General features: G+C 58.4%; 1 protein-coding gene across 3 annotated transcripts in view, besides 7 other annotated features; it reads right to left on the bottom strand.

The window, feature by feature from the left end:
- Positions 1 to 18,995, bottom strand: part of COL20A1 (collagen type XX alpha 1 chain) — a 41,621-nt gene extending 22,626 nt beyond the window's left edge. For 2 of the 3 annotated variants that reach the window (XM_011528937.2, XM_011528938.2), the window contains exons 1-14: positions 18,906 to 18,995; positions 16,992 to 17,083; positions 14,161 to 14,271; positions 6,621 to 6,764; positions 6,142 to 6,300; positions 4,533 to 4,691; positions 4,091 to 4,210; positions 3,475 to 3,639; positions 2,684 to 2,848; positions 2,266 to 2,426; positions 1,671 to 1,800; positions 642 to 787; positions 433 to 556; positions 126 to 265 (exon numbers count right to left, since the gene is read on the bottom strand). In XM_011528937.2, the coding sequence (XP_011527239.1) occupies positions 126 to 265; positions 433 to 556; positions 642 to 787; positions 1,671 to 1,800; positions 2,266 to 2,426; positions 2,684 to 2,848; positions 3,475 to 3,639; positions 4,091 to 4,210; positions 4,533 to 4,691; positions 6,142 to 6,300; positions 6,621 to 6,764; positions 14,161 to 14,271; positions 16,992 to 17,073 (1,806 nt within the window). In that variant the 5' untranslated portion in view covers positions 17,074 to 17,083; positions 18,906 to 18,995. The remainder of the gene's footprint in view (positions 1 to 125; positions 266 to 432; positions 557 to 641; positions 788 to 1,670; positions 1,801 to 2,265; positions 2,427 to 2,683; positions 2,849 to 3,474; positions 3,640 to 4,090; positions 4,211 to 4,532; positions 4,692 to 6,141; positions 6,301 to 6,620; positions 6,765 to 14,160; positions 14,272 to 16,991; positions 17,084 to 18,905) is intronic. The other variant, NM_020882.4, reaches the window with a different exon arrangement.
- Positions 18,101 to 18,600: an enhancer, noted in NCBI's record as "H3K4me1 hESC enhancer chr20:61924933-61925432 (GRCh37/hg19 assembly coordinates)". NCBI's record gives its function as "activates a minimal SCP1, AML or CMV promoter by ChIP-STARR-seq in primed H9 embryonic stem cells {active_cell/tissue: H9 hESC(primed)}" and the evidence as "EXISTENCE:reporter gene assay evidence [ECO:0000049][PMID:30033119]".
- Positions 18,601 to 19,102: an enhancer, noted in NCBI's record as "H3K4me1 hESC enhancer chr20:61924431-61924932 (GRCh37/hg19 assembly coordinates)". NCBI's record gives its function as "activates a minimal SCP1, AML or CMV promoter by ChIP-STARR-seq in primed H9 embryonic stem cells {active_cell/tissue: H9 hESC(primed)}" and the evidence as "EXISTENCE:reporter gene assay evidence [ECO:0000049][PMID:30033119]".
- Positions 20,237 to 20,861: an enhancer, noted in NCBI's record as "H3K4me1 hESC enhancer chr20:61922672-61923296 (GRCh37/hg19 assembly coordinates)". NCBI's record gives its function as "activates a minimal SCP1, AML or CMV promoter by ChIP-STARR-seq in naive H9 embryonic stem cells {active_cell/tissue: H9 hESC(naive)}" and the evidence as "EXISTENCE:reporter gene assay evidence [ECO:0000049][PMID:30033119]".
- Positions 20,237 to 21,485: a biological region, named in NCBI's record as "H3K4me1 hESC enhancers GRCh37_chr20:61922048-61922671 and GRCh37_chr20:61922672-61923296".
- Positions 20,649 to 20,988: a silencer, noted in NCBI's record as "silent region_13153". NCBI's record gives its function as "represses an Ori minimal core promoter by ATAC-STARR-seq in GM12878 lymphoblastoid cells {active_cell/tissue: GM12878}" and the evidence as "EXISTENCE:reporter gene assay evidence [ECO:0000049][PMID:35858748]".
- Positions 20,862 to 21,485: an enhancer, noted in NCBI's record as "H3K4me1 hESC enhancer chr20:61922048-61922671 (GRCh37/hg19 assembly coordinates)". NCBI's record gives its function as "activates a minimal SCP1, AML or CMV promoter by ChIP-STARR-seq in naive H9 embryonic stem cells {active_cell/tissue: H9 hESC(naive)}" and the evidence as "EXISTENCE:reporter gene assay evidence [ECO:0000049][PMID:30033119]".
- Positions 20,999 to 21,048: a silencer, noted in NCBI's record as "silent region_13152". NCBI's record gives its function as "represses an Ori minimal core promoter by ATAC-STARR-seq in GM12878 lymphoblastoid cells {active_cell/tissue: GM12878}" and the evidence as "EXISTENCE:reporter gene assay evidence [ECO:0000049][PMID:35858748]".

The following is a 21,509-nucleotide window of genomic DNA, read 5'->3' as shown; positions in this document are numbered from 1 at the left end:
CGCTGTGCCTCGTGGCCGCTGTGGTTTTGAATGTGTTATCTGATGGTTGGCTCCACCCCATGCCTGCCAGACAGGGCCCTGTGGTCCCTCAAGACACTCGGGCCCCCGGAGGGCTCTGCTCTCACCTGCCCCGAGTGTCCACCCTCGCTGGACACATAGGTGACCCTGACCAGGCGCACAGGCCTCGGGGCACCCTCCCAGAACACTCGTGCCGCGTCGTGGCTCACGTCTGAGAAGCCCAGGTGTCTCGGGGGGGCCAGGGTGGCTGCAAAGCACAGCAGAGCCTCAAGGCCAGCACGCGGCCTCCATGGCAGGGGCAAGGGTGGGCAGTGGCTGGGACCGAGGGGGCCTGAGGTCTCCCATGCCATGGAAGGCTGAGGAACAAGATGGGGCACCCGCCTGTGGGCAGGCAGCCGGGGTTGGAGCACTCACGGGTCCTGGCACGGATGCCCCGGGCCTCGCTGCCCTCAGGGCCTCGCAGGCTCTGCACCGAGACCTCATAGTCCCTGCCAGGTTCCAGGCCATCCAGCAGCACCTCGGGCCGCCCGACCTGCACCTGCAGAGACATGACGTCCCAGGCCAGCCCCCACTCGCTCTGCCCCACTCCTCTGCCTCCCCCGCCACCCCCCGGCCCAGCTCACCTCTCGCTCCTCCTCTTCACCCTTGGGGGAAGCAGGAGAACATCGCACCAGGTAGTGGGTGGCCCCGGCCGAGGGCTGCCAGGTGAGGTGGACGGTTCTGGGCGTCACTGCGGCCAGGGTCAGCGCCCGGGGCGGAGGCAGAGGTGCTGGGGGGCCATGCAGGGACACTTTAGGAAGGAGCCCACACAGAGATCACACCCACGCACGGGGCACCCTCACACCAGAGTGGGTGGGCACGGCCACCGCCTGGCAGGTGCACAGGATTCAAAGTGGCACTTCCCAGGCTTCACCTTGGGCCAAGGTTTGTGGCTCCAGCTCTGGGGACACAAGGCCACCCCACAGTTTTGTCTAAGGCCATCTGCCTTGAGGTCATGGGAGGAATGTGGCCTCCGGGGGGTGAAAAGGGCTTTGGGAAACACCCAGACACAAAAGTCTGCACTGTGTGATTCCACCTGCAGGAAACGTCTGGGACAGGCACATCCAGAGACAGAAGGTGGCTTGGGGTGGCTGGGGGGGCGGGTGCTTAGGGGTGCAGGGTTCCTCTGGGGGGATGAAAATGATCTAACATGAACTGTGGCCATGGGTGACAGCTCTGAATATACCAAAGCCACTGGAGTTGTACACTTTAAATGGGCAGGTTGTATGGTGTGTAAATTACATCTCAACAAGGCTATTACAGACGGGCTCATGGCAGTCCCTGGGGGTCCAAGAACCCAGCGAGCTAAGCCACGTGCTGGAGGCCAAGCAGGGGGGAGCTCCATGAACACTGTGGACAAGCAGCATAATGGGCTGTGATTACAGTTGAGGTGATGACACCAACGGTATAGCTGGTGTTCAGAAGAGAACACCCAGGGTCAGAGGGGCCCAGTGACTCGGCCTTGGTCACACAGCAAGCTGGGGATGGTGCCAACTGTGGGTGGTTAAGATCCAGAGCTGCTCGCTATGCTGCCCTGGGGTGTCAGGCTCCAAGGGACAGCCGTGAGTGGGGCCTCCCACCCAGAACCTGGCCGCTGCCTCTGCCCCACCTACCTGTGGTCACCAGGCCCCGCAGGCCTTCGCCAACCCCGCCCTCATAGATGGGGAACACGGAGACCAGGTACTCTGTGCGGGAGGCCAGGTTGTGCAGCTCCGTGGAGGCGGCGGGTCCCTCCACCACCACCTGGAACAGAGTGGGCAAGGACGGAGCCAGGAAGGGGGGTGCCGGGGGATGGGGAGCAGGACAGGAACTCCGTCAGCTGGAGTGTGAGCTCAGCTGGGGCCCGCAGGGTGCCCCACTTCCCACAGGCCTGGGCTCCCTGTACCTACGACAGAGCAGTGCCAGGCCCACCACAATTATCCATCGATCGATCAATCAAAGGGAGAAGGCGCTCTGAGTCTGACCCTAACCCCAGCACCCTCGGAACGCCCCCTGCTCTGCCCTCCTCGGCCACTAAAATGCACTCATCCCAGGCTGCCTCCCAGACGCAGCTCCCCAGTGAGTCCCTGGGCTGTCAGCCCCTCGACACCCCCTTCTCAGCCTGGACCCAGTTATTTGTGGGCCTTTATTCCTGCCCTCCCTTTGGCTTATCAGATCTCACTACGGCTGAGGACCGGCTCGGGGAGCCCTGTATACCGGCCCCCTCACCTCCCTGGGGGTGCCACCTCTAGAGGCTCGCCAAACGATCAGATACTTGAGGGGGTGCCGGGGGGCTGGAGTCCAGGACAGGCGGATGCTGGAGGAGGTCACCTGGCTCAGGACCAGGCTGGTGGGGGCAGGGAGGGTGTCCAGGGCTGGAGCCGCTGCTGCTGGAGTAGCGGGAGTGGGGGGCAGGTGGTCACTGCACGGGCAGCTGTGTCCACGCTCCCCCTGGTGGCCACTCACAGGAGGGACAGGAAAGCTGCTCCCCAGCCCTTCTGTGGACAGATGTAAGGGGGTGCTGCAGACCCCCTCAGAGCCACAGGAGCCGGCCTCAGGTACCACACGGGAGCCACAGCGTCCCCCCAACCCTTTGCCCAAAGCAGCCGGGGGGGCTGCAGCCTGTGCGGGTGACCCTGCCCCTCACCTGGGCCCTGCCGCGGGCTCCCACCCTGGAGCCTCTGGCAGATGAGACGGCTGAGCAGGCCAGCCAGCGCGCCGAGCTGCAGGAAGTCCAGCACGCTGTGGACGGTGATGTCCCTCGGCGGGGACGCCAGGAGCCTCAGCTCAGCCTCATCGGCGTTCTTCACACCTGCTCGTGAGGAGGGAGGTGGGGTTGGCCTGCACTGGGGTCACCCGACGGGGCCACCTGCGGTGGGGGTCTCCATGGAGACTGGGTCAGGAGTAAAGAGGCCTATGGGCTGTACTCGGCCCACCTGCCACCCACATGCTGGGCCAGGCGCTCCCGAGGGGTTGGGGGCATCAAGGAAGGGTCTGTGCTCCTGGGACTCCTGCCTCGAAATCTGGGGTTTCCTCCCCACAGGACAGAGTTGATTCGCCTGTGAGTCCCAGGCCCTGGAGGATGCCAGGAAGCTCCTTGCCAGGGCACAGCAGGCGGGAGTCACCAGGCACAGGGATGGTGGCCAGAGGGGGCAGCTGGAGCTGCTCAGTGAATATCTCACCAGGGAAGTTCACGCCACAGGGGGAGGGTTGGGGTGGTTCCACGGAGGGCACCAAACACCAGGCGATTGGAAAGGAGCAGCCCGCCTGTGCCATCGCCTCTGAGTGCCAGGCGGTGCCTGGCTCTGCGTGCAGCTCCGTGCCGCAGATGTGGAAGCTGGGGCTCAGGGACCAGGTGCCCAATGCAAGCTCCCTGCTGCGACCCTAAACCCACCCGGCGGTGAGACTCCAGGGCCGGGGGAGCCGCATGGTGCTCACCCACAGCGAAGACGTTCACGCCCAGGTCCTTGAGGACACGGGCAGCAGTGTGCACATCGTCCTGGGACTTGCCGTCCGTCACCAGAATCACCACCTTGGCTGCCTCTGGACGGAGGCCAGCCGCCGGCTGCAGGTTCTGCCCCAGCACGTGGGTCAGGGCAAGGCCTTGGGAGCAGCAGGAATAAAGTGACAGGCAGCTGCCAGCATCCCCTCCTGGTGCTCGGCTGGCAGCAACCGGACAGCAGAGATGCTCCTCTCCTTCCCTTGTGGGGTATCAGGAGGCCCCGCAGCAGCCCAAGGGAGCAGGGAGGGTCTACCTGTTGAAGGGCCCCAAGTTCCCCAGCCAGACCCTACCTGCAAGGTGAGCACCCAGACTGGGCCGGGTGTGGACCCAGCCAGAGCTGCTAATGTGGAACAGAGGAGCCACGCGCTGGACACAGGCCCTCGTTTTCATCAAAGGTAAACAAGGGGGTGACTCTGCCCTCTATAAAGGTGTGAACAGGGCTCAGGTCCACACCACTTGGAGCTCGATTTACACACAAGCTTTCGGGATCTGGGAGGGCGGCAGAAGGAGGTCCGCCCTCAGGACAGAGGGAGGGGCAGGCCTGGGCCGTACCTGTGAACGTGTTCCCCCCCTTGTAGCGGAGGCGGCGCACAGCTGCCAGCACCTGTTCCTTGGTGCTGAGGGAGTTCAGGTCCCACTCAGTCTGAGCATCCCCGCTGTACTGAGTCAGGCCTGGGGAGCAGGGGCATGGCCACGGGCTGAGTTTCCAATGCTGAGATGCCCAGGGAGCTTGGCACAAGGCCACACCTGAGAGCTGCACGTGCCTCTGTGGGGTCACCTGGCCACAGTAGCCAGTCCCCAGGGAGAGGACGCTTGCAGAGCCAGGGCCTCCACACGGAGGGGTCCCCAGAACACCCCATGTGGAGCAGGCGTCCCACCCCACAAGGTGAGAGCCCTGGCTGGTACGGGGACCCCCACAGGTCACAGCCTCCTCTGGCAGAGCTGTGGGGACCACACCCGGGTGGGGCAGGAGGCGGGCCGGGCCAGCACCCACCTACTTGGACCTTATCCGGCCCGATTTCAAAGGGTGCGATGACACTGGCCAGGAAGTCCTTGACCTGCTGGAAGTGACTGTGGCCAATGCTCCAGGACCCGTCCACCAGGAAGACCATGTCAGCAGGCACGGGGGGCAGGCAGCGGAACTGGGGGCCGGCTGGGGCGGTGGGAGCGGGTCAGGTGCTAGGTGAGGCCCATCCCTGGTCCAAGGCCCCCAGATCACCTACCCCGGGGCTCCAGCCACAAGAGTGAGGCAGGCTGGGCCAGGTTTCAGGGGAAAGGACTCCAAGGCCCTCAGGCCTCACCGGACTAGACAGCCCCACACCGGCACGGCTGCACATCGAGCCACCGCTAATGTGAGGCAGCCTGGTGCTCGGGCACCTCTGCCCTCCACGGCTGCATGCAGCTGCCCGCCCAGACATCAGGCCCAGAAGCCCACCAGGTGCAAACCAGGCAAGGAGGGGAGGGTGGGCACCACAAAGAGCCCCAGCAGAGCCGCCGTGAGCACCGCAGCGCGGCGCTGTGGAGGCAAAGCCGCCATCCCCGGTCTGGCGCTCCCCGGGGTTTTGCAGGAGCAGTGCCTGGTGAGGCGGGCCCCAGAGCCAGGGCCAGACCCCCGGGGAGATGCCTGAACGAGGCCAGCAGCCATCACGGTGGAGCCCCCCGTGGGGCGACCGAAGAGGCCCAGCTGCCCTGAGGCCTGCATGGGTGGGGACACTCCCCTGGGGGAGCCCAAGTCCAGGGGACCCAGCAGAGCCCAGCACCCTGAGGGGAGGACAGCAGCGGACCCGAGGACCCTCTGGAGGGGATATGCCCAAGTCTGAGGAGAACACTTCCTTCAGTTCCAAGTCTGACGGGGGAGGTAGAATCCTGCTTCTGAGGACCCCAGTCTGATGGAGGAGACAAAGCCAGGCCCTCCCAGTTCTATGGGGAAGCCCAGCCCTGCCTACGGGGGCCTTATGGGCAGACACAGTGCACTGCCCCCGTCTGTGCCCACCCCTTACCTGGCTTCTCTTCTGTCCTGGTGTGGCTCTACCTCTCCACGCCTGGGGCCGGCTGGGCAGGGCCCTCCCTCCAGGGCCCCCGGACCAGCTCTGCTCCTGATCCCACTCCTGGGGGAGCATGACCCACCCCTCTCACCACCCCCTAGACCCAGGCTGGAGGTTCCCAAAGGGGTCAGAGGTAGTGGGACCACCTGCTCCCAGTGGCCTGGCTTGAGTGAACCTGGGAACATGGCAACTTTAAGTTAAAGCCAGAGACCGTGTGGTCAGACACGAGGAAGAACTTCCCGGCCTCGTGGTCAGAGACCGTGTGGTCAGACACGAGGAAGAACTTCCCGGCCTCGTGGTCAGAGACCGTGTGGTCAGACACGAGGAAGAACTTCCCGGCCTCGTGGTCAGAGACCGTGTGGTCAGACACGAGGAAGAACTTCCCGGCCTCGTGGTCAGAGACCGTGTGGTCAGACACGAGGAAGAACTTCCTGGCCTCGTGGTCAGAGACCGTGTGGTCAGACACGAGGAAGAACTTCCTGGCCTCATGGTGGGAAATGTGGGAAACCAAAGGTCACTCCCTCCCCGGAGACTTACTCTCTCTCCACTCTGACCCACCAGGAGTGCGCGGATCCTGGCTTGGTGTGAAGGCAACTTGGGGCTCAGAAGCCTGCTCAGGGTCTGGGCTCCCCGTGTGGGAGGGGGTGGGCTCCGGGGCTCCAGAGCCGAGGGGCCTCTGGCTGCTCCTGTCCAGGGAGCTACTCTTCAGATCCTCAACTGCAGGGAGACACAAAGAGCCATCAGGGTGGGAGTGGAGGGCCTGGTCCACTGGGGCAGCTGCACATACACCCCTTCAAGGGCGCATCTGTGGGTGCTGAGGGCCCAGGAGCCTGGGAGGCATGCAAAGATGTCAGGGGCAAGGCAGCCTTGCTGGTGAGTCGGGACTTGAACCTGCCCCTAGCACAGCCCAGAACTGCTTCACACATACCCACCCCTGGGGCTGGAACGCAGCCTGGAGGAGGGTGGGACCCCAGCCCAGAGGAGGGTGGGACCCGGCCTGGAGGAGTGGGTACCCAGCTGGCAGACGGTGGACTTACTCACAAACTCCCTCCGAGCTAGCAGGAAGCGCCCAGAGCCAGTGAGCTCGAAGATCTGCAAGGTGTAGCCCTTGGAGGGGCTCAGGCCCCCCACTGTGGCCTTAGGGGTCTTGGTGGTCAGTATCACCTCCTGTTCCGAGTCCCCTGGGTAGGGGTGGGGAGAGCTTTAGAGGCCAAGGTGCACACGTGTGTGCATCTGTCACGGCGGGGAGTGAAACCCTCTTGGCTCCTCCTCCCCACCCCAGCTGCTCCCCTTGAAGCCAGAGAGACAGAAAGGGAGAGGGTCTGATGGAAGGGACATGGGCTCCTGGGTAATAATGTGACAGAGAATGGGGGTCTTGGGGCGGTGAAAAGAAGATGTCACTTACTAAACCCCCCTAGAGGAATCCGCCGCATGGTGAGGTGAGAAGCCATCAACCCTCAGAGATACTGTCAAGGTATGAAGACAGGGCTGCCCAGGGAGGGGATGACGACCCGAGGGGCCAGGTCCAAGAAGGAAGAGTCCGGGGCCAGGGCCCTGCCCACTCCCACAGGCTCCTACCCTATGGGCTGCACGGACCGACCAGCCGCAAGTATTTTCTGCTGTGTGACTCCATGATTCTAAAGTTAGGTCTGGATTTCAAGTGTGAAAAGCAAACAAATGATTCCAAAGGGGACACTGCCATATTCTCAGAGGAAAGAGCAAGAAGAAATGGCCTTGAAAGAGCACTCAGGAGGCAGCAGTCAGACCTGGAGAGGCACTGTGAGCACTGGGTGATTCTCTGGGTCTCAAGTGCTAAGGCAAGGGAGAAAAGGGCAAGAAATCCACACTTGCACACCTCGAGGGAGGGAGGGAGGGAGGAACCCACACCTGCGCACCTGCAGGGAGAAGAGGAGGGAGGAACCCACACCTGCACACCTGGAGGGAGGAAGGGAGGGAGGAACCCACATCTGCGCAGCTGGAGGGAGGAAGGGAGGGAGGAACCCACACGTGCACACCTGGAGGGAGGAAGGGAGGGAGGAGCCAGCACCTGCACACCTGGAGGGAGGAAGGGAGGGAGGAACCCACACCTGCGCACCTGCAGGGAGAAGAGGAGGGAGGAACCCACACCTGCACACCTGGAGGGAGGAAGGGAGGGAGGAACCCACACCTGCACACCTGGAGGGAGGAAGGGAGGGAGGAACCCACACCTGCACACCTGGAGGGAGGAAGGGAGGGAGGAACCCACACCTGCGCACCTGCAGGGAGAAGAGGAGGGAGGAACCCACACCTGCACACCTGGAGGGAGGAAGGGAGGGAGGAACCCACACCTGCGCACCTGGAGGGAGGAAGGGAGGGAGGAACCCACACGTGCACACCTGGAGGGAGGAAGGGAGGGAGGAACCCACACATGCACACCTGGAGGGAGGAAGGGAGGGAGGAACCCACACCTGCACACCTGGAGGGAGAAGAGGAGGGAGGAACCCACACCTGCACACCTGGAGGGAGAAGAGGAGGGAGGAGCCCACACCTGCACACTGGGAGGGAGGAAGAGAGGGAGGAACCCACACCTGCACACCTGGAGGGAGGAAGGGAGGGAGGAACCCACACCTGCGCACCTGCAGGGAGAAGAGGAGGGAGGAACCCACACCTGCACACCTGCAGGGAGAAGAGGAGGGAGGAACCCACACCTGCACACCTGCAGGGAGAAGAGGAGGGTGGAACCCACACCTGCACACCTGGAGGGAGGAAGGGAGGGAGGAGCCAGCACCTGCACACCTGGAGGGAGGGAGGGAGGAAGGGAGGGAGGAACCCACACCTGCACACCTGGAAAGAAAAGGGACACCATCCTCCCTGTGCAGTGAGTGGCTCCCCACAGCCCTACCCAGCCCCGCGCCAGGGAGTGACCAGCCAGGGAGGACCCTCTGTTCTTGGCTGAGCAAATGGGAGGCAGGGGTGTTGTCATTACCATCAACAGCTAACTGTTATTGAGTTTTCACTGTGTGCCTGGCAGTATCCTAAGCATTTCACAGGTATCAAGCCTCATAATCTTCACAACTCCATTACACCCATTTTATAGATAGGAAAACTGAGGCACAAAGGACCAATCACACAGCTACTCCGCAGTAGAAGTGGGATAGAAGCCCAGGTCTGTCATATTCCCAAGGCTTCCTGCACAAACACGTGATTAACAAGCAATGACAATAATGAAAAAGTTTTATGACATTTAATATAAATATAGAATTTTAAAAGCCGGGCATGCCTGTAATCCCATCTACTTGGGAGGCTGAGGTGGCAGAATCACTTGAGCCCAGGAGTTTGAGTCCAGCCTGGGCAGTATAGTGAGACCCCATTTCAAAAATCAATAAATAAACACAAGTGCTTGAAAATGGGATAAATATTATTGTGATGTTCTAAGGTCCTAGCGTTGCCTGGGGACAGCTGAGACAACCATTATGTATATCATATGCTGATAAATCAAGGCTGTATGTTGTGGTCGCTAGTGTGGTTACTTGAAGGGTAAAAGAATATAGAATCACCAAGTTGATGGCATCAGGGAATAATCACCCCATACCTACTGAACAATCTTAACTTCACAAGACACACCAGACATTATGTACCGCCAGCTGTGGTAACGCAGGAGTTACACAGCACCACTGATAAAGAATTCTTGTTAACAAATATAATCAAACTTGAGTCTGACCAAACTTCCAGGATGTAACTGCCAGTCTATGGGAGACAGGGTGGAGAGACGAAGGAGCGAGCTAAACGGCTCCCCAAAGATGCCACTGGCAAGAGAAGAAAGTGGGAAGTTCGACAGAACAATCTTGTTTCTTCTTCTACAAATAAATGTCAAGGAAAAGGGAGAGGGGGAAACTGCTTTAGATTAAAAATTGCTTAAGACACAGGAACCAAACACAGTGTGTAGACTCTGTTCACACCCCAATTCAGACAAATCAATTGTAAAAGACATGCATCAAGACCAGGCGCGGTGACTCACGCCTGGAATCCCAGCACTTTGGGAGGCCGAGGCAGGTGGATCACCTGAGGTCAGGAGTTCGAGACCAGCCTGGCCAACACAGTGAAACCCCGTCTCTACTAAAAGTACAAAAATTAGCTGGGCGTGGTGGCACGTGCCTGTAATCCCAGCTACTCAGGAGGCTGAGGCAGGAGAACTGCTTGAACCTGGAAGCAGGAGGCTTCAGTGAGCCAAGATCATGCCACTGCACTCCAGCCTGAGTGACAGAGTGAGATTCCATCTCAATAATTAATTAATTAATAAAAGACATGCATCAAGTTAGAAAACTCTACACAACTAAATATTCCATGATAGTACTGAAACATTTTAAATTTGGGAGCTGCTCATGGTATTGGGGTTATGATTGAGTCTTTTAGAGAAACATATTGAAATATTTATAGACAGGATTATATAATGCCTGGGATTTGCTTTAAGATAATATAGAATGTAGAGGGGGGTTGAGGAGAGGGACATAAAACAATATTGGCCGCACGCTGATAATTGCTGAAAGCTGCATCATGAAAACATGAGGTTTCATTATACTATGGTCTCTTCTTTTGCCTGTGTTTAAATTTTTCCATTGAAAAATCAGTTCAAACAAAGACAAGAAAGCGGAGAATAAAAACTTATAACAAGTGTAATAAAAAGGGAAGATTATAGATATAAACTCAAATGTATCATTAATTTCATTAAATATAAATGGAAAAAATCTTTTAATAAAAAGACAAAGACTGTCACACTGGGTGAAAACAATACCCAATTATATGCTGCTTAGAAGACACATCTAAAATGAAAGGCTGGAGAAAGATTAACAGTAAAAGAAGGAGAAAGGAGATTTAATGCAAACACTACCTGGTGAAGCAATAGTACCATCACAAGTAAGATGTAAGGAAAAAAACAGCACTAGAGAGATAATGAAGAGCATTTCAAAATGAAAAAGGGTCAACCTACCAGGAAGATACAATCATTCTAAGTTTGTATGTACCCAATAACAGAGCCTCATGCATAAAGCAAAGAACAGTAAGACAACCACAAGAAAGACACATCTACAATTAGAATGGAGATTTGAAATACTTTTTTCAGTAACAGCATAAGTAGACCCCAAACATAGTAACTATATAAAAAATCTGAAAAATAAGGTAAATGACTTAATTAGAACATTAGAAAACTCTACCCAACAACTGCAAATTGCATATATTTTCAAAGTCACATGGAACATTGACCAAATTGATCATATGCTGGACCATAAAGCGAGGTACTTTTTTTTTGAGACGGAGTCTTGCTCTGTCACCCAGACTGGAGTGCAGTGGTGCCATCTCGGCTCACTGCAACCTCCACCTCCCAGGTTCAAGCGATTCTCCTGCCTCAGCCTCCCGAGTAGCTGGGATTACAGGTGTGTGCCACCACGCCCAGCTAATTTTTGTATGTTTAGTAGAGACGGGGTTTTGCCATGTTGGACAGGGTGGTCTCAAACTCCTGTCCTCAAGTGATCTGCCCACCTTGGCCTCCCAAAGAGCTGGGATTATAGGCGTGAGCCACCACGCCCGGCCAGCAAGGTACTTTCCAAAGGACTGAAAGCATATTGTACATTTCTGGCCACAATGCAATGAAGGAAGAAATCCAAAACAAAAAATAAGTAGAAAATCCCCCATGTTTTAAAACTGAGAAACACACTTCTAAGTAGCCTATGGGTCAAATAAAAATATCGTAACAAAAATTAGATATTTTTACCTGAATGATAATGAAAATTCTACATATCAAAATGCAGCTATAGCTACTGCTTAGAAGAAAATTCAATAGTTTTAACTTTATATCTTGTAAAAGGGCAGAAAATCAATGAACTTAAGCATCCATCTTAAGTTAGAGCAGAAAATTAAACACAGAGTAAAAGAAATAGAAACAACAATAAAAAATAAACAAAATCAACGACAGACCAACCAAGCCAAAATGTGTTTTATTAAAAGACTAATAAAGTAAATAAACTTCCAGACTGCCTTTTGAAAGCAGAGAGAAGATTCAATCAATAACGGGAATGAAAAGGGTGCTATAACTATAGAGTCTATGGGGTAATATGAAAAACATTATGCCAACTAATCAGGAAATTTATATAAAATACAAATTCCTGTTTAAAAAACTAACTTACCAAAACTGACCAAAAAAATTAGAAAATCTGAGTAGTCCTATGTCTGTTAAGGAAATTGAATCAATTATGTGAAGTATTTACACACATACACACACACCACAAGCCCAGAAGTCAGTACCAGTGAATTCTAGCAAACATTTAAGGAAAAAAATACCACCAACATTACACAAACTCTTCCAGAAAACAGAATAAGAGGAATCCTTCCCCACCTCATCTTATGAGGTATAAAGCTGATACCAAACTTTAAAAGGACTTTATAAGAAAGGGTAGTTATTGGCCAATATTCCCTCATGAATATAAGTATAAAAATCTTAAATGAAATATTTGCAAATTGATTTAATAACATATAAAAGGGGATAGGCCAGGTACAGTGGCTCACCCCTGTAATCCCAGTGCTTTGGGAGGTCAAGGTGAGAAGACTGCTTGAGGCCAGGAGATGGAGGCTGCAGTGAGCTATGACTGTGCCACTGCACTGTGCACTCCAGCCCGGGTGACAGAGTGAGACCCTGTCTCTTAAGGTATACATATATATATACACACACACACACACGTACATATATATATACACACAACGTATATATGTATACACACACACGTATATATACATATATATGTATATATGTATATATTATGTTTAATATTTAAAAAATCAATCACTGTAGTTTACTACATTAATCAAATAAAGGAGAAAATAACCACCTCACTGAAGAAAAAGTTTGGAAAAAATAATGCATTCTCTTGACAAAAACTCAGCCTTACGTAGGAACAGCACAGGACTGAACCTGATAAGGTCCATCTATCTGGAAAAGGCAAAACAGAAAACAGCTCAGTGGTTACGGGCACTGGGCTAAGGGCTGACCTTGGGGTAACAGAACTGTTCTCTACATCAATTGTGATAGCGGCTACAGGATTGAATTCATGTGATAAATACAAATCACAGACCTCTTCTCAAAAGGGTGAAGATTTCTGCACGTAAATTACAGCTCCACAAAGAAACACAGGATACCACTGAACACCCACCAGAGTAGCTCCAGTCAGGCTGCCAAGCGTTGGTTGCCAAGGGTGTCATGCAACGGAAGCAATCATACAGTGTTGACGGGAGTATACACTGGCACGACCCCTTTGGAAAATAGTTCAACATTTTCTACTAACGTTGAAACTATGCACACACTGTGGCACTTCCACTCCTGGGTTTACACCCAGAACAGGCGCACGGACACCAGAAACACACGCGGGATCCCTCACACGGCGTCTACACAACAGCCAACCTGGACACAAGCCACATGTCCATCAATAGCAGAAGAGATCACACAGGGGAATACTATACAGCAAAGAAAATGGACGGCTGTTACACACCACGGGGCAAACCTCACAAAATGCCCACCAAAGACACAGACATGAGGGAGTCGCCATGGTGTGATTCCACTTAGAGAATGTTCTGAAACAGGCAAACTAGTCCATGCTGTTGGAGGCGGCCGTCCAGGGAGCAGGGGAGGGTGGACGTTGGCAAGGGCACCGGGGCACCCGGGACGGTCGTTTTCCACCCCAGGAGGGGTTTGAGTTGGCCACCCCACAGTGCTGATTCATACAGTTAGCATTTATGCCTGTGTGCTTTTCCATCTGAGTTTTGAAAAGCTTTAAAATTAGCACCCATTGTCAGGTTAGGACTGTTCCTGCTCTAGGAACAGGGTTCCCTGAAAAGGTGTCCTCAAGGCCCTGCTCCTGGAAACAAGGATTAACGCGTGGGGAGCAGGTGCTTCTGGGGTTCGCTGTGCGGAGTCCAGGCTGTTCTGAATGCCCCTGACGCATTGAGACTCGTTCTGAGGAGGGAGTCGTTTCTTTAAAAAATATGGACCGGGCATGGTGGTTCACGCCTGTAATCCCAGCACTGTGAGAGGCTGAGGGGGGCGGATCTCCTGAGCCCAGTTCAAGACCAGCCTGGGCAACATGGTGAAACCTCTTCTCCACAAAAAATACAAAAATTAGCCAGGAGTGGTGGCACGCACCTGTACTCCCAGCTACACAGGAGGCTGAGGTGGGAGGATCTCCTGAGCTCGGGAGATTGAGGCTGCGGGGAGCTGTGATCGCACCACTGCACTCCAGTCTGGGCAACACAGCAAGACCCTGCCTTTAAAAAAAATTAAAAATTGAAATTAAAAATCAAAAAAATTAAAAGTATGTACTGAATGCCTTCTGCAGGGGCTGCGTGCCAGGGACAGAGGAGCCCCATTCCCTCTTCCATGTCATATGTGACGGGGGAAAGGAATGTGGGTCAGCAGAGACCAAGGCCAGAGAGGTGCTGACACTAAGGGGCTGGTGGGAGGGATGCTGTGGGCCTGAGTGGTGGCTGCGGCCACCACACTGACTGTCCTCGGCACGTGCTAATGGGGAAGGGGGCCTGGGAGGGGCAGGTCCTCACCTGCCATGGGCTTCACCTGCACCAGGTAGCCGAGGCCGCTCCCCTCCGACTCTCTCCACTTCATCTGCAGCCGGTCCTCAGGCAGCACAGCCAGCCTCAGGAGACCGCTTGCTACAGAAACAGGACATAGTGGTCAGGACTGACCTGGCCTCCCCATCCACCTAATCAGCTGTGGGGGTACAGGCATCCTGCCCTCAGCATTTGGGAGGAACACAGTCCTATCCCGGGGGACCCCGAAGAGACAGAAGCCCACCCAGGGTGTCTGAGGCGGACTCAGCCCCACTTGGGGATACGAGGCCTCGCCTGGGCGCTGAGGAGAACCCGGCCCTCCCCGGGGTCCGCAGTCACAGGGCCACCCTGGTAGCTTTGGTGAGAGGGAGTCCAGTCCCACCCAGGGAGGCCCCAGCCTGGCTCTCCGGGGGTCCTCCCACCAGGAAGAGGCTCAGGCCCATGTCTGGGAGGACAGCAACCACCCCACTGATGATCGGAGGCCCCGAGCCAACACAGCAGCTGGCAACCTGCCCAGGGCCCTGAGCTGAGTCCCCTGAGCTGGGGCCCCTGGGCTGAGTCCCCGGGCTGGGTCCCCTGAGCTAAGTCCCCTGGGCTGGGGCCCCTGGGCTGAGTCCCCTGGGCTGGGTCCCCTGAGCTGAGTCCCCTGAGCTGGGTCCCCTGGGCTGGGTCCCCTGAGCTAAGTCCCCTGAGCTGGGGCCCCTGGGCTGAGTCCCCAGGCTGGGTCCCCTGAGCTAAGTCCCCTGGGCTGGGGCCCCTGGGCTGAGTCCCCTGGGCTGGGTCCCCAGGACAAGTGGCCATGCAGCTGCAGACCCCTAGCTGCCAAGGTCACTGCCAGGTGCACGTGCCGCCTCAGTGGGGAGTGTGGGTGCAGAATCCCACACTGGAAGTGTGTGCACATTGGCACGTGTGTGCACGTTGGTACATGTGTGCGTCCATGCCAAGACGAGGCTGCCTCCCGCGATGGGGGATGGGTGTCCAGGCCATCTGAGAGGAAGAGGGGGCGGCAGGGGCCTGGCCAACCTCCCAGGGCTCTGGAGAGGGTTGGTGCCCCCTGAAAGCTTCCGGGGCTCTGCAGTAGGGGCAGCTATTTTTGGAAAATGGGGACAGAGATGGGCTTCTTTGGGCTGCCCCCCGGAAAGCTGGGGCTCGGGGGGAAGAGCAGGGGCTGGGGGGCACTGGGGCAGACACAATGACCCATTCAGAGCAGGCAGCAGCTGGGCCGGGTCTCCGGATGGGGCTGAAAGGCAGGAATGTGTGGGGGATGAGGAGGGGGCTCTGAAGGCCAGCTGTGAGCAGGGCCCCTCCCGCAGCCCCTGCTTGTGAAGAGCCTTCTGTTGCTCCACTCTGCCTGAGAACGTCAGGGACCCCTTCCCCAGCTCCCTGCTGGAGGACAGCACTGTTGGGGCCTGAGCAGGGCACTGGGCAGACAGCGGCTGGTGGGAAGGGCCCCACCCAGGACCACGCTCCCCTCCCTGGACTGTGGCCGCACCCAGCCTGGGCCATCCTGGGAAGGGCTGCCCCAGCGTGTGGGCTCCCACCCGTCCTGGGCTGGACTCAGTGCCCCCAGCCCACCTGGCTGTCCTCAGGGACTCAATGGCCCCCGAAAGGCCCTTGTGAGGGGTGGCCCCATCATGCTGAATCCTGAACTAGATAGAACTAGATTTGCCTTCGCCTAAACTCAAGTTGTTTCTGTAGAAGCAACTTACTGATTTGGCTCAAATTGACAGTGCAAGCTTCTTTCAAACTGAAATCTCAGCCCCCACTGGCCCCAGGGCAGGGTTACCCTGTCTGAGCTGAGGGGACCAAGGCACCTGCTCATGCAATGGTCTGTTGCCTGTGTGCAGGGCAAACCTGGCACATCAGCATGGCAAGACAAGCCGTGAAACCCGGAAGGGTCTCAACAGGCGGCTCCACGCTACACCGGGGCTCCCGCATCTCACCCGCCCTTCTGCAATGGCAGCGGCACCTGGAGGCTCCCTCGCCCCGGCCTGTCAGGCCCTGGTGGGGGTGCTTTAAACGCACAGTAGAAGGGGGAGCTGCCTTTCACCCCAGCGGAACAAAACCATCGCTCAGTGGGAGCCCGGAACCTCCCAGGAGCTTGCAGGTGCCGGGAGGCGCCGCGTTGGCCCAGCCCAGGGACAAGTTTACAGCGTGGCCGAGGCCCCGGAGCCTTCTCCATAGACACGGAAATTCACCTTCCTAGAGTCAATCTAAACCCACATTTCTCAACAGGAGGAAGAAGCTGCTCAGACAGGTGAGCCCACAGCATCCTCTGCCATTTCCCTTTGCTGCCATGGGCGGTGCCCTACGTTACCCAAACGCCCCAACCAGTAGCAGCCAGACTGGAGGGGCCTTCTGAGGACGTGGTGCTGTCGCCCAGGGATGCGCACGGAGGGGGTGGTGCTGCGTGGAAATGCGAGTGCCGCACCGAGAGAAGCCAGAGGGCTATGTGCCCAAAACACCAGTGGGAGGCGGCGGTGGGAAGCAGGCAGGAGGGAAGGGAAGGCGGCTCCATCTTTACCCCAGCCTCCTGCTTCCTAGAGACTGCTCCGAAAGGTGTTCGTGGAATAACTCTCGGCCAAGCATTAATATAACAGAGAACTAAACCACAGAGATGTGCTCCCAAGGCGAGGCTGAAGGTTTGGCGGGAGCACACGCTCCCTCCCGTCTTGCCTTTGTTGTGGGAGCTGCTGTGAATTCAGCACGCATTCAACTTAGGAGGAAGACGGGGCTCAGGGGCGGAGGGCTCGTCCCGCGTGGGCACTGGTGGGGCAGGCGTGGCCTCGGGGCAAGCAGGGGCCCACTGCCAGTGTCCTTACCTTGAACTTGCTCTCTTCCCAGGGTGGCGCCCAGCCACAGCCAGAGGCAGAGGCCGAGGTGTGCAGGGTCTCCGGAGCTCATGGTGCTCGGGCTGTGGCAGGGAAGAGGCCATGCCCTTCAGCCGTCCCCCCGTCTGTCCTCTCCCTGACCACAACGCCAGAGCTTCTCCAAATCCTCGAGGGCCAGGCAGCCTGTCCCCACACCGGGCTCCACCCCTCACATGTGTGAGGACCAGAGGCCTGCAACCTGTTGTCTAGGGGATACCTCCCAGCTGCCTAAAACTCAAGGACCCAAGGCTAGAGCTGGGGCTGCCTCCCACTCCCACCCCACTCTTGGCATTTACACCACCGGGGGCTGCTCTGAGTGACAACAGGACCCCCAGCCCCCAGTTGTCCCCACGCCCAGTGCAGGGGTGGCTGGGACGGGCACGGGGCCTCCTGCTTGTGGGGCTCCCGAGGGCCACGGAGGGCTGAGGCAAGGGGCGAGCTCTCCAGGCAATGTCTGATTGCTGGACATGTGGAGTCCCTGTGGCCCCAGCCTCGCCCTGGAGGCGGAAGGGTCATCAGAGACCTGTGGAGGAGAGTGAGAGCTGCCTAGTAGGAGTGGGGAGCGGGTGGGTCTGGGGGACGCCAGCCGGGGGTGCAGGGTGTGTGTGCCACGGGCACACGGCTCTGAGGCCGAGACAGGGAGGCCGCCAGGGCCACTGGAGAGCTGAGTGGGCTACAAGGAGGACCAGAAAAAACCAGGCCCGGCCCACTCAAAGGGGCTGGGAGTGGAGGTTGGATTTGGGGTGCTCTGAGGAGCAGCTGAGGGGGACTCAGAGGCCAGGGTAACCCAGTGACCAGTGCCCAGAGGTGCCACTCGGAGAGGTGGGGAGCATGTCAGCTGCCAGGCCCGAGTCCTCCACCTGCCACCACGCCCAGGGCTGAAGAAGAAATGCCGGGGGTTCACTTGCACTCCGTTCCCCTGCACCCCCAGTCCCCTGCACCCCCAGTCCCCTGCACGCCCCCTCCCCCGCACTCCCCTCCCCCCGCACTCCCCCTCCCCTCACACTCCGCTCCCCTGCACTCCCGCTCCCCGAGACTGCTCATGCCAGCCCCTCACCCCACGCACCAACTCGGGCCTTCAGAAAGCAGACAGAGCACTCCCGGCAGGCCGGGCCCCTACCCCTCTGTGCTGAGCTGAGGGCATGGCTTGAGTGCAGGCCCTGGTTCTGTGAGCCCCAGCCTCCCACACAGTAGGGTTCTAGGGTCCTGAGTGACCCAGGCCCTCCCACCCCCTGCAGCCGAACAGAGACCCCCCCAATACACGCCCCCTCCCAGTGTGTGACCCCAGTATCCCCACCAGGGAATCTGCTCCTCTGCAAGGGAAAGGCCTCACCCGGCGGGAAAGCCACCGGCTTAAATCAGGGATTTCATGCCCGCCCGGCCGGCCAAGGGCAGTCAGGTAAGACCCAGGCATTGGAACAGGAGGCACCTGAGGGCTGGGCTCCCAAACTGATCACAGAGGCACCAGTGGGCAGCCCGAGTGCCCCCAAGTCCCTGGATCCTCCCACCCCAGAAACCTGGCTTGACTCAGTGGGACCCCTGCCAGGGCCACAGGCATCCAGCCTGAAGTGCAAGCCGCTCTCTGCTCGATGTGCACCCTCCTCGTTCCCCCACAGCCCTGGATGTTGTCTGAGACCCCCAGAAGGGAGCCCTTGGTGAGAGCTCAGGCAGCCCCGGGCTCCCACTGCCCCGGCCCCTCCTGGCCACACCCTGTGCGTGCTGGGCACCCCGGTCCTGTGGCTCACAGGGGCACTTGGCCTCTATCTAGACTTTTCTGAAAGTCAGTCACCCTCAGATCACAGGCTGAGTGGATCTCCTGGCAGCCCCTTATCCACCCAGCCTCAGGACCACAGGGAAGTCACCCACCTCCTCCTACTCCTGGGACCCCAGTCCTCTCTCCTGGGGTGTGCTGGTCCACTCTGGTCCTGCTGTGGCCACAGGAAGGCTGGAGCTTATGAAAGGCTTCTCCTCCACAGAAGTCACTGCCCCAGCCCACCCCCCGACCCACCCCTCGGCCTGCCTCTCTCTCCTCCCCTCCCTTTGCCCTCCACCCTTCCTGTCTGCCGCCCCGGGCATCTCTCCAAGAACGGGGACCACAAAGATCCCAGCACGAAGGACCCCACTGCACAGCAGGGCAGGGTCCCACCAGTGAGGAGGCAGGGGCTGCACGGCCCAACACTTTTACTCCTCACTCCCAGAGGGTCCATCCTGCAAGGAGGGGCTCACAGGGAAAGCCACTCAGATGCCAAGGCCGCCACGTGTGGGTGCTGGACACTAGGGATTCTGGCTGCCCACTGTGGGGAGCAGGCTGCAGTGGCACCTGGTCCCCCACCCATGTGGTCACCCTTCCCCTCCCCCAGTATGCCCTCCCAGCCCATCCTGAAGGCTGCCACCACCCAACCCACTTTGCAGACTGGTGCCGGTAACCAGAGCTTCAGCAGGTGCCCAGGCCTGGAAAACAGGCCCCTGACCCGACGGGACCCTGGGCTGCTCCCAACTGGACCAGCCCAACACTGGCCCTGCCCCTGCCCTGGCCCTGCCCCTGTCCCACCCGTGCTGTGACGTAAGGCCCCACCTAGGCAGCGCAGAGTCCCGTAGCACCTGCTGGCTATAAAGGGCCCACCGCTCACAGCTGTCCCTGCCCCGGGACTGCCTGGGAGATAACAGATGCACCCCAGCGGCCCTTGCCCAATGACTGGGTGGTGACGCAAGTGTGGGCATCCCGGCCTCACTGCACAGCCTCCTAAGACACTCACTGTCCACAGCTCAAGGTGGATCCGGCCGAGGCATCTGCCTCCCCGATAGACCCGAGTGCACCCAAATACGTGTCCCTACCTCTGTCTTTAAGGACCCCAGCCTAATACCACGCGTCGCATGGGTGCTTCAGGACCACTGGAGGCAGCTGTCGGCCTTGTGAGCCCAGTCCCCAAGTCCATGCCTCCTCTGCACTCAGGACAGTGCGAAAGGGCCAGCCCCCTCGAGGCCTCCCGACCCTGGGTTGCCTGAGGCCTGAGGGAGGATGAGCCTCTCCCGACCCTGCCTGCTGCTCTGGTAGCTGAAGAGAAACCACTTGGCCTGGCCCCAGGCTCAGCCTCCAGAGGCAAGAGATGAGCTGGAGGTGCTCGGTGAGAGGCCAGCGCTGGCACAGCGGCCACAGAGGAAGAGGTGACACCTGCTGGAGGCAAAGGCCCAGGCTGGATGCTGCGGAGGAGAGGGGCCAACCTCTCCACACCTCCCTGGATCCCTGGGCCACACCGATTCAGATTCAGGATACACCTCTTCATGAGCACCTCCTTTTTCTCGAGATGGAGTCTTGCTGTTGTCACCTGGGCTAGAGAACAATGCCGCAATCTCGGCTCACGGCAACCTCAGCCTCCCGGGTTCCAGCGATTCTCCTGCCTCGGCCTCATGAGTAGCTGAGATTACAGGCACCCACCACCACACCCAGCTAATTTTTGTATTTTTAGTAGAGATGGGGTTTCACCATGTTGGCCAGGCTGGTCTCAAACTCCCGACCTCAGGTGATCCACCCGCCTCGGCCTCCGACAGTGCTGGGATTACAGGTGTGAGCCACCACACCCCACCCATGGCCACCTCTTGCACAGCCCATCCACCAACTGGCTGTCCCGGAGGAGCAGCCTGAGAGATGGTGTCAGGTCGTCGCCGTGGCGGGCTCCCAGGGGGCCGGTGGTGCCTGCAGTCCTGGCCATGGCCAGAGGAGGGCGCCCAGGCTGGCAGACGGGCACCAGGCACCAGGCACCGGGCGCAGGGGTGCAGCCCCGGCTCACAGGCTCCTGGGAACAGGTATGTGCACCCACATCCCACACATGCAAGCCAGCGTCAGGGTCATCACAGACCAGGCAGTCAGGCACCCAGCACTCCTGGCTCATGAAATGTGAGCTCCACAAGGGCGGACCCGTCTGCCTGTTCACCCCGCCCCTGCTCCTGGACTCCTGACACCTCTGCAGCACCCCTCAGACCACGTGGCAGTGATCCGGCTCAGGCAGGGCCGGCGAGCTGCCGGGGTCACAAACGACAAAGGGACAGGACAGAACCTGGGTCGGCCACTGTCCTCTCCTCACCAGGGTACTGTGGCCTGAGGCCCCAACCCCACAGGAACCCCCCGCATGCTTGTGGCCAGTCACATATCACCCGGTTCCAGGTGGGATCCCAGGCCCACAGGTCCCAGAATTGGGGACATGGCCCCAGTGGCCTCCTGTGCAGCCTCCAGCCCCCGAGAAGCCTCAGTGCTCTGGGGACTGACCCCCAACCCCCGCCTGTGTTGGCTGGGTCAGAACAGAGCAGGGCCAGGCCCCACAGCCGTCAGCCTCACCCAGCCCCCTCTGTCGGCCAGCAATGAAGGCTCATGGGGCAGGGCTTGTCCCTGGAAGGCTCAACAGGGGGACAGCAATGCCAGCAGGCGCGATGAGTGGGTGGCCAGGGGAAACCCAGTGCACTTAGAAAAGTTTC

This window comes from Homo sapiens, chromosome 20 (assembly GCF_000001405.40).
Source record: "Homo sapiens chromosome 20, GRCh38.p14 Primary Assembly".
Classification (NCBI taxonomy): Eukaryota; Metazoa; Chordata; class Mammalia; order Primates; family Hominidae; genus Homo; species Homo sapiens.
Note: the sequence above shows the minus strand (reverse complement) of the source record. Positions and strands in the feature narration are given on the sequence as shown.